This window comes from Homo sapiens, chromosome 2 (genome assembly GCF_000001405.40).
Source record: "Homo sapiens chromosome 2, GRCh38.p14 Primary Assembly".
NCBI lineage: Eukaryota > Metazoa > Chordata > Mammalia > Primates > Hominidae > Homo > Homo sapiens.
Window position 1 is genome coordinate 51,684,699 of NC_000002.12, and position 12,582 is coordinate 51,697,280.

Below are 12,582 nucleotides of genomic sequence, written 5' to 3' on the forward strand. Positions count from 1 at the left end.
AGCTAAAATGGACATATCTTAAGACAATGCACAATAAATTTATAATAATTATGACCTAAATAATAACATCAAGATTTATGAAATAAAATTTGAGATAACTGTAAACAAAAATGACAAATCTAAATAATAGAGTGAGATTTTAAAATACATTTCTTAGAAATATATAGATGAGAAAGAAAATATTGAGTAAGGGTGTAGAAAATAACACAAAGAAGTAGGTGTCACCAACAACACAGACAGGTTATTTGAGAACAAAACTACCAGAAGAGGCTGATAAAGGAAAAAAGCAATCACACTGTACGTTTATGTAATTAAAAAAGGGAAAGTATCTCATTCGGATTTTAAATAGCATAAGATACTATTATTCTCAGTAATTTTAAGAACATAAATATATATATATATATATATATATATATATATATATATATATATATAGACAATACAAAAAAGTACGTGCATTTGCCACAAAGGATAATATAATTATTAAAGAAAATAAAACAGAAATCAAAAACATCCTTCATAAAAGCTCCAGAAGGTTAGCAGTTGACTTCCACCCCTGCAGCTTTATCGAGGTATGTTTGGCAAATAGAAATTGTATATATTCAAGGTATATGACGTTGTTTTGATATATGTATACACTGTGAAATAATTACCATAATAAAACTAGCACATTCCTCACCTCACCTAATTACTTTTTGTGTTTGGTAAAAACACTTGATATTTGATAGCTACTGTTTTAGGAAATTTCAGGTATACAAAATGTCATGATTAACTGTAATCACATCCTTACATTAAGTATCCTGAACTTATTCATCTCTCTGCTTCCCCTACCCCAGCCCCTGGTAACCAGTCTTCTACTCTCTGTTACTATGAGTTTGACTTTCTTTTAGATTCCAGATATAAGTGAAATTGTAGTATTTGTTTTTCTGTGCCTGGCTTATTTAACTTAACATAATGTCCTCCAGGTTCATTTATGTTGTTGCAGTTGACAGGATTTTCTTCTTTTCAAAAGTTGAATAGTATTCCATTGTCTATAATATCTTGTTTTCATTTTCCATTCATCTGTTGATGAACACTTAGATTTATTCCACATGTTGGCTAGTGTAAATAATTTTGCAATGAACATAGAAGGGGAGATATCTCTTACACTAGACATATTGTTTCATTTTCTTTAAACATGTACCTCAAAGTGGGATTGCTGGATCATGTGGTAATTCTATCTTTAGGGTTTTTTTGTTGTTGTTGTTTTTGTTTGTTTTCTTTTGGAACTGCCATATTGTTTTTCATAATGGCTAAGCCAATTTACATTCCCATCATCAGTGTACAAATGTTCCCTTTGTTCCACATCCTTACTAAAATGTGTTGTCTTTTAGCTTTTTTATAATGGCTATTCTGACAGGTGTGAAGTGGTATCTCATTATGGTTTTGATTTGTGTTTTCCTGATAATTAGCGATGCTGGGCTTCTTTTAATATATGTGTTGGTCATTTGTATGTGTTCTTTGGGAAAACGTCGATTAAGGTCCTTGCCCATTTTTTAATTGTTTTCAGTTGTTTTTGTTAGTTTGTTTTTGCTTTGTTTTGCTGTTGCATTCTGTGAGTTCTTTATATATTTTGGATATAAAATCCTAATCAATTATATGGTTTGCAAATACTTTCTCGCATTTAGTAGGCTAGCTTTTCATTTTGTTGTGTGTTTTCTTTGCTCTGCAGAAATATGAAAAAGAAAAAAAGGGCATCCAAATCATCAAGGAGTAAGTAAGTCTTTGTTTACAGATGACATTATATTCAGAAAACCCTAAAGACTCCACCCAAAATATTGTTAAAACTAATAAACAATTAAAGCTGCAGATACAAAATCAACTTTAAAAAGTCAGTTTAGTTTCTATACACTAACAAAACACTATGTCAAAGAGAAATTAAGAAAATGATCCCATTTACAATAGCACCAAAAGAATAAAATACTTACAAAGAAACTTAATTGACTTGGTAAAACATCTGTACACTGAAAACTACAAAATATTGATGAAAGAATTGAAAAAGACACCAGTAAATGGAAAGATATTCTCTGTTTGTGGATTAGAAGACTCAATATTGTTAAAAGTTTCATACTACCTAAGGTCATGAACAGATTTCATTTAATCTCTATCAAAATTCTAATGACATTTTTCACAGAAATGGAAAAAAAATAGAAAAATTTGTGTGGACCCATGAAGAAAGTTGCTAAGACAATCTTGAGAAAGAATAAAGCTAAAGAAATCACAGATTTGGAATCACAGATTTGAAATCCTGATTTCAAACTATATTACAAAACTATAGTATTCAAAACCGTATGGTACTGGCATAAAACAGTCACATCAACCAAATGAACAAACAGAGAACCTAGAAATTCACCCATGCATATATGACTAGCTAATTTTTGACAAAGACACCAAGAACACACAATGGGGAAATTACTGAACCTGAAATATTTTCCAGTCACCCATGAGGGGAAAAAGACAGAAACTTCAAAGAAGCAACAATAAGACAAAAATCTTACTACTTAGCAGAAATTGTAGAAGCCAGAAGTCAATGGAAAGTGCTAAAAAAACTGTAAACATACAATTTTACAACCAGCCAAACCATCTTTAAAAATGAATGCAAATAGACATATTTCTAATATAAACGAAAATTGCAGAATTCAAAGGCAACAATTCTGTACTAAAATTTGAAAAGAAAACTTGAGGACTTCCAGGCAAAAAAAATCGCAAAATCATCATTATGCTAAACACACACACTCACAGAAAGGGCAAATATGAGGGTAAACTAAAGTTGTATGAGTTTTTAAGCTTCTGTAATGCCAACAACTTGGGAGGCCAGATGGTAGGATTGCTTAAGGCCAGGAGTTTAAAAGCAGCCTGAGCAACATAGAGAGATCCTGTCTGTTAAAAAAAAAGTTTTATGGGTTTTTAAACGTGAAATATTGTAATATATGTGACACGACTATTTAATTCATCTGAAGTGATAAAGATAACATGTGGTGAGGTCTGGCATTGTCCAGGAAAACGCAACTTTACTATTTTAAGGAATCTTTTGAGAAAATAAGGATGCATAATCTCTCTATTAAAGGAGAAAAAAAAAGATATTGACTAACAAGTTCCCCAAGAAGAAACAAATGAGAAAAAAAAAATTAATCAAAATAAAGGCAAAAAGGAGAAAGTAAAAAAGATAGCAAGTAGAATAATTAGGAAATAAATAGCAAGTTGCTGGTCTTAAATCCAAGTATCTTGGCAATTTCATTAAGATGAAAATTTAATACTCAACGTTAAAGACAAAATTTAATGGGCTTGAAAGAGAAACAGAAGAGAAATTTTGTGCTGCAAATAAGAGCCAAATATTTAACATAAGATTGCAGAAAGACTAAAAAAAAAAAAAAGAATGTGAGATGATATATTGCTCAAATACTTATCAAAAAACTATTCATGTTTAAAGTAAGAAGTATTATCACAGACGAAAGTGATAGACTATAATGTTAATCAATATAATAGGAAGATATATCAACCCAAACTGCTTATATGCCTAACTAAATACTAATAGACCTACAGATAAAAATACACCTACAATAATTTTTGAAGATTTTAAGGTAACTTCCTCAGTACCTCAAAGAACAAACAGATATAAAAAAGTAGAGGTACCAATGATTTGAAAAATGCACATGAGAAACTTAAACTAATTGAAACATTGGGAATGCTGAAGGCAACACATGCACAATTCTCATTATTTTCAAGATCACAAGTAACATTTATCAAAATTGATTGCATAATGGGCCATAAGCCATGTTTCAACGAATTTCAAGAACTAAAACCATACAGAATGTATCTCTCCACATTGGAATTGGCAAAGAAATCACTCCAAAAATGAAACGCAGCAAATATAAGCTGTTTGGACATTATGAAATAACATAAAAATACTGTGAGTCAAGGAAGAAATAACATAAAAATTAGAATATATTTAAGCTGAATAATTATGACAGTGCAATAAATCAAAATTAGCGCAAGTTAAATGCAGTACTTAAAAAGCAATTTGGAGCTATAAATGCATTCAGTAGTAAAGATAAAGGGCTGAAAATCAATAAGGTATCCTACTCAAATTAAAAAAAAATCTTTGTGTAAATTAATCCCTCCAAAATAAAAGACAAAAATGATAATGATACGAGCAAATATTAAGGAATAAGAGAACAAATATAATTTTCTATAAAAATTAAGTTATACATTGTTTCTTTGATAAAACGAACAAAATTAGTAAATGCATTAACACAAAAAACAAGAAAAAAGAAAGTAAGCACAAATTCCTGACTCAGATATCAAAAAATACATTATTAAAGATTCCTTAGATGTTTAAAAGATAAGAGATAGTATGAACTTTTTTTTCAAAAACAGACAATTTCAATACAGTCCTTGATAATCACAGCTTATCAAACCATATACAAGAGAAAAAGAACAGATAAATTAATTGTATATCTATCTTTAAAATGCTGATCTTACACAATCCCATCTAGAAAATATATCTAAAAAGAATGTTATTCTTCCCAACACATTTATGAGGCCAGCAAAGCATTGATTTAGACAGCTTTCAAGGACATTACAACAAAACAAAATTATAGGTAAATGTCTTTTTGAATATAGATACAAAACACTTAAACCATATAAAGGATAACACATCACAGCCAAGAGAATTTTATTGCACAAATGCAAGTACGATTTGACATTCAAAAATTAATCAGTGTAATTCACCACATTAGTAGAATCAAGCTGAAAAAATTCAGAAGCAGAAAAATCTTTTGATCGAGTTTAATACCACTTTATTATTAAAACTTCTCAGGACACAATTTTAAAAAACTTTAGCAAACATTAGAAAGTAAGTAAAAATATACATACTAATAGCACCAACAAATATTAATAACATAAAACCATGTAATTAGGGGAAAAATAACACCATGGATATAAAGTAGTAAGAACTTTGGTACAAGATTGGTCAAAATGTAAATTGGTACAATTTCTTTAGAATTTGGCACAACTCACTAAAAGTAATTATATGGATAACCTTTGTTCTAGAAATGGAATTTCTAGCAATATATTATAAGAGAAATATAAACTTAGGTGAATACAAAGACAGAAAAATGTTATTAATAATTTTATTCATAGTAGCCGCATATTGAAAATAAGGTCAATGTTTAGCAACAAAAAATTGATAGTACAGTATTATTTTTAAAATAAAATATTATAAAGCAATAAAAATGATGAATTCTGCTACACATAACAACACAAACAAATCTCACTGATGTGATGGAGACTGAAAGGAGCTAGACTTTTAAGAGTACACATAATACACAAATATATTTCTGCTGTGTTCAAAAGCAGGCAAAACTATCTGTCTTTAGTGAGAGGACTTACTGAGTTAAAAGATAGGTTGGTCATAGCTTCATATCAATGAAACCCACGAGGTTATGTATATATTCATAAAATATTCATCAATACATACAGTAAGATTTGTGAACTGTATGTGAACTAAACCTCAATAATAGTTCAAAGAAAGGGTTAGCTTACAATATTTGCAGAGAAAATGTTCAAAGTCCAATTAAAATCTATGAAAGATGAGTAAGGTACTATTCAAAATGTGATCAAAATTATACATTAGTTAGAAATACATTTAACAAAAGTTTACATTTTTCTTTTCTTTTGAGACAGAGTCTCACTTTGTTGTGAAGGCTGGAGTGCAGTGGCACAATCTTGGCTCACTGCAACCTCTGCCTCCTGGGTTCAGGCGATTGTCCTGCCTCAGCCTCCCGAGTAGTTGGGATTACAGTCACTTGCCACCACACCCGGCTAATTTTTGTAATTTTAGTAGAGACAGGGTTTCACCATGTTGCCCAGGCTAGTCTCGAACTCCTGACCTCAAGCGCTTGAGAGACCTCGGCCTCTCAGAATGCTGAAATTACAGGTGTGAGCCATCGCGCACGGCCAGAAGTGTACAAAATTTTATAGAGAAAATTAATAGAGAATGTAGTAAACGTTGTTTGACTACCCAAGGGCTTTCCAAATTCATTTCCAATTTATGTTTATGTGTATACTATTTTATACCCATTAGATTGGCAAAAATCAAATTGAATAAAAATGCTCAATTTTAATGAACATTTGGAAGGCCTCACATCGCATAAACATTTTATGGACGTTTAAATATAGTTAGCCACATTAGAGAGCAAATCAGGAATTTTGAGTACTTTAAAAATATCCATATGTTATGATTCCAAAATTAAAATTTTAAATGTATAGCCTAAAGAAGTTCTTGCAAATATGCCTATGAGAAATGTAAAACGTTTGCTTATGGTAGCATCATTTAAAATTATGCTATTTGAGAGCATGTATGAAATTTATCCATGGATAACTGGATAAATAAAATGTAGAGCATTATAAAATAAATATTTCAGGTAAAATCAATAAACCAGACATACATGTATTATCATGGGTAACCTGCAAATAATGTTTAATGATAAAAATGCATGTTAAAGAATGGCACTTCCACTATATTATTATTCATATTATACTATATATTGTTTGACAATACGTAGAAATAGTAGTATATTTAAAAATGATAAAACATTATCCTTCATATCACTGTAATTGCAATTGCCTAATTTTATTTTTTTTAATTTAAGATTAGGAAATAACAAAGTTTCAGGAGGAACCACATGTATATATAAATATATATATATAAAACCACCATTATATATATATATATCACCATAGATTATGATGTCATATATATATATAAACCACCATTAGTGTTATATATATATGACACTATACATATGTTAGCATCATATATATATATATATATATGACTCTAATGCTGGTTTATATATATGACATCATAATCTAAATGTATATATATGACATCTAAACTAAATATGGCATCTTGATTAATCTTGTGAATGTGCTTATTTTGGTACCCATATTTTAATAAATGTAAACTATCATTTTATTATCATTTCTATACCATCTCTTAGCAGATTCTGGAGAAGTAGTATGAACAAGGAAATTTACAGAGTATCCATTTTTTTTAGGAAGTCTGTACTATATTTTGTGAAGGCTGTATATTAAATACAGGTATCACTCGTGGTAGGCCATTCTTGTATTGCTATAAAGAAATACCTGAGACTGGATAATTTATAAGAAAAGAGGTTTAACTAGCTCACAGTTCTGCAGGCTGTGCAGGAAGCGTAACACCAGCATCTACAAGTAGTTTATATTTTATTACATTTCTTAATTATTAAAATATCCCAGAATTAAACCTCTTAAATTTTCTATGACTTTATAGCAAAACTTATTTTTAAAAATCTCCAGCAATGTTTTTAGTGTTATTTTAATAACAAATTTATTTTAATTTGTGCCATACGATTTTATTTTATCCATTTTTACATAGAACAAAAAACAAAGCACTTACCAGTAATATGTAGCTTTTGCCTTTCATTAAGAAAGAAACTTCATTTTAACAGTATTGATTCTTCCTATCCATGAACAAGAAATGTTTTTCATTTGTTGGTGTCATCTCTAATTTATTTGAGCAGTGTTTTGTAATTCTCATCGGAGAGATTTTTCACCCCCTGGTTAGTGGAATTCCTGGGTATTTTATTCTTTTTGTGACTATTTTGAATGGCACTGTGTTCTTGATTTGGGTCTCGGCTTGGATGTTGTTGGTGTATATGAACATTAAAGATTTCTGTACATTGATTTTGTGTTCTGAAACTTTGCTGAAGTTGTTTATCAGATAAAGGAGGTTTTGGGCAGAGATTATGAGGTTTTCTAGGTATAGAATCATATTATATAAAAATGGGGATAACTTCCCTTCTTCCTATTTGGATGACTTTTATTTCTTTCTCTTGCCTGATTGTTCTGGCCAGGACTTCCAGTACTATGCTGAATAGATGTGGGGAGAGAGGACATCCTTGTCTTGTGCCAGTTTTCAAGGGAAATGCTTCCAGCTTTTACCCATTCAGTATGATGGTGGCTGTGGTTGTGTCATAGATAGCTCTTATTATTTTGAACTATGTGATTGGACAATTCCTGGAAGAGCTTGAAACAGAATTACTATTCCACTCAGCAATCCATTATAGATTATATGCCCAAAGGAATATAAGTCGTTCTACCATGGAAACACTATTCACAATAGCAGAGACATGGAATCAAGCTGAATGCCCAGCGATGGTAGATTAGAAAAAGAAAATGTGGTACATATATACTATGGAATACTGTGCATCCATAAAATGAATGATATCATGTCCTTTACAGCAACATGGATGGAGCTGGAGCCCATTATCCTAAGCAAACTAACACAGGAAGAGAAAACCAAATACCACATGTTCTCACTCATAAGGGGAAGCTAAATGTCGAGTATACATAAACACAAAGAAGAGAACAACAGCACCAGAGCTTCTTGAGGGTGGAGGGTGGGAGGAGGGTGAGGATCAAAAAAACTGCCTATCAGGTGCTATGCTTATTACCTTGATGATGAAATAATATGTACACCAAACCCCCCATGACACTTAATTTACTTAAATAACAAACTTGCACATGTATTCCTAAACCTAAAATAACAGCTTTTTAAAAAAGAAAAGAGTAAAACTTCAACAGAGTTTTCTAAATTGTTATTACCAAGTTTGGACTGAGTGTTACATTATCTTAAATATAAATGAAAAGCACGTAGTGTTTATGGCTGGATGTTCAGCTTTCATATGTAGACTGCTAAACATGATTGATTGTTCCACAAAATTCTTAGTTAATAATGTCTCAGGACATAGTTTATTCTTATCTGAAATTCTCTGTTAACTTTGCAGAGTAGAGATTACATCATCTTGTTTTACCTCATAATATGGCTGCCAGGGCTTATAATTATGGTAGTAGTGCAGGCTTTACCAACCCCTTAGTTTTTGCTTTTGTTTTTGTTATTATTATTGTAATCACTCTGGTATTTATTTTTAGGTATTTTTTAAAGCCACTGTTTCTTATAGTGGAAGTTAGATAAGTTAAAACTGGATATATTATATCCTAAAGTATTTTAATTGGATCAAACTGTTGTTAGTCAAAATATGTTGAAAGCCAGCAAAGCAGTGGATGACCTCATTTTGCAAATTTCTGCGTTGTGTAAATTTCATGATGCACTGCCAATACTTCATTTAAAATTTATAATATATGATATGTAGACTGAGTTGGGCACTCCTGGGAAATCCATGTATTAAATATTAGTTATGCTATTATTGATTCTTTAAAATAATAATAAGGCCAGACTCACACCTGTAATCCCAGCACTTTGGGAGGCCAAAGCAGGTGGATCATCTGAGGTCAGGAGTTTGAGACCAGCCTGGCCAAAATGGTGAAACCCTGTCGCTACTAAAAATACATAAAATTAGCCAGGTGTGGTGGCACACTCCTGTAGTCCCAGCTACTCAGGAGGCTGAGGCAGGAGAATTGCTTGAACCTGGGAGGCGGAGGTTGCAGTGAGCCAAGGTTATGCCACTGCATCCCAGCCTGGGCGATAGAGTGAGACTCTGTCTCAAAAAAATAAAATTAAATTAAAAATAAATAAATAAATAAATAGAATTAGAAATTCTAACATGTTCTCTCAGTACCACAAGAAATTATTTGGAGAACCCACTAGAATACACACTTCTTGCTTGAGGAACCACTGGCCTCAGGACATAGGCTTAAAGTAAATCAACAAAAATTAACTACATACATATAAGCATATCTTCCTAATTTTTGCATTGCGTGACCTAACTATAATCTATAGCATATCTTTCCATGCCCAGATCTATTTCTGAACTGTTATATGACATCTCCACACAGTTCATACTTGCTTTGACTATGACCTAAATTCCTAGCCTGTTCCCTGGATAGTTTCTCAGTAGTGCAGGACTATAAATGCACAGTCACTGTGTGTACAAGTTATATGGGAATATAACAAGTTATGTGTTAATAAAAGTTATTTAGAAATAAAACGAAAATTATAAACAATTTGTACTAATACTATATTTTTTCTGTTATACAACATAGTGACATGAAAAACAAATATAATAATGGCTTAATTGTAAAGTATATAATAATAGTTTATCTGATTTGACCCTCCATATACTGTATGAGGGCCTTAAACCTCTTTCATGATACTTTCCATCTAATTATGGCTATTGTCAGGGTGTGTCTGATGTATGCCTCAGGAAACATCCTCAGTCACCAGCTGGTATTAATAGTTTTGTCTCTCTGTTCTGATTCTTTTCATAATATTTGGAATTTTGTCTTCCACTACCTGTACAAGGGCAAGGCAACTCATCTGTTACTAAGAGATAACTTGGCCGGGCGCAGTGGCTCACGCCTGTAATCCCAGCACTGTGGGAGGCTGAGGTGGGGGGATCACTAGGTCAGGAGATCAAGACCATCGTGGCCAACATGGTGAAACCCGTCTCTACTAAAAATACAAAAATTAGCCAGGCATGGTTGTGGGCACCTGTAATCCCACCTACTCGGGAGGCTGAGGCAGGAGAATAGCTTGAACCAGGGAGTTGGAGGTTACAGTGAGCCAAGATCACACCACTGCACTCCAGCCTGGGCAACAGAGCAAGACTCCATCTCAAAAAAAAGATAGAGTTAACTTGAATTTACTTAAATCATAACTTGGGGGAATTTTACCATTAAATCATTATACAATATTTTTATTACTCTGTTCAGAGTAATATACCAGAGTAAGTACCATTTTATAAGCTTCTATAGTTCAATGGCATCTCCATGAAACTTATATAAGTAGCTTTTAATTAAAAATTAAAGTTTTTTTCAGAAAGAATTTTTTTGTTAATTGGTCATTATCCATTTATTGATTTCTTATGGCATGTTCAGCTTTATTCATAAAATAGGCATCATCTAAAAGAATTGTAAGCATGAATTCCTTTTCAGTGTGTGGGCAGTGTAATTGGAGAGCCAAGAGAAATACAGAGGAAATTACTGATGCCAAAAATACATAAAATGTAATAGAGAAAATAGAATTGGAAACTCTTCTTGGTATACTCTCTTTCTTCATACTGAATCACATGGCTCGCTATCAGTTCAAATAGGAATTTTTAAGGAAGTCCTTTATGGATTTCACCTCACTCCAATGTGTCCACACTCAGTGCTTTCTCAGGATAAAGAAACTCAATTCTATTACATAATTTTGTAAATTGTTTTCTTTTTCTTTGCCCACCATATTCTCATAAGGACACCTTAAGCTCCTCAAAAGCACAAAACGCAAATTCTATTTCTTTGTCAACCCTCTCTCTAGTAAAGTTCTAGGTAAAGAATAAATGCATGACTGATTGTTTTAATGAGCGCTAATGGGTGTTGTTAAATCCCTTACTATCTGAGGAGATCGTTGCTTATGGCAGCCCCTGTGATTTTAAAAGCTCTTCCATGTTGGAATAAAGGCAAAATACAGTGATTTCAAAGAACTGGGGAGAGAAATTTTAAGATTTCCTTTTGGGAAAATTTCAGGCAAAAAATTACATCTTATAATCCATTCCAGGCTTTTGATTGTATGATTACCCCATTTACAATTGATGTTGAAAATAATATTTTCTCACTTGCCACAGCCTCTTCTTTGCATTCTCTCACCCTCAGCTATTATATATTAGCTCAGTACCTGCATTATTTACAGGAACTGAAAAACAGGGTTGAAGATTATAAAATCTCACATTTGCTGACTTTTATGCAGGTTAAATGAAAGAGTTTTATAATTGTTTCTGCCAACCAGTAGGTTCAAAATGTTTATTAAAAGTGAATTCTGGATAAATTATGATTAATGTCCTTCTGGTTTGTTTTGCTTGAGCCTACACACACACACACACACACACACACACACACACACACATATACACACACATATATATATAACTTTATATAAAACTATAAATACTAGGAACTAGCACTAGAACTGTACTTTTCACTACAGTATCAGTAAAAAAAAAAAATTTAGGATTTTTTATGACTGATTTTACATTTAAACCTAAAGGAAAAATAATCAGGAACAACACAGAGTTTTTTTTTTTAAATGAGTTGGCAAAGAAAATACCAAAGGCTCAAACCTGACAAAAGCATTGAGAATACCAGAAAAGAAATTTTAACCTTTAAATTTAATTGAAACATGATATTTTTCTCTTTTGAAACATTTCTTTCTCTACAAAAATCTGTTCCTTCAGAACCTGTTGATGCAATAATATTATATCATTTTTTTTTACTGGTCAATGTATTTATTTGTAATTGTTCTGAAATTGTTTCCTGCAAGGTTTTCTATTACTCAAACTGTCTTTGTACACATAATTTTCCTTTCATGCCATTTATGAACCATTTTTTATTTCTATGGTTGATAGAGAATGACTTCATAATTCATTTCTGAATAAGTGAAATAATTTAAAAACATTTTAAAGTGGGTGTATCTACTTGCTTGGAGCTTTGTCGAATCATGTTTCTTATTTGGAGCCTCTGGAGGAATGTTGACTTACCATGGTAAAAATTAACTGGTGAAAC

General features: G+C 31.7%; 1 long non-coding RNA gene across 1 annotated transcript in view; it reads left to right on the forward strand.

Annotated features, from left to right (window-relative positions):
• NRXN1-DT (NRXN1 divergent transcript) overlaps nt 1-12,582 on the forward strand; it is a 1,375,317-nt gene that overhangs the window by 652,098 nt on the left and 710,637 nt on the right. The gene's annotated exons all lie outside the window — the stretch shown is intronic.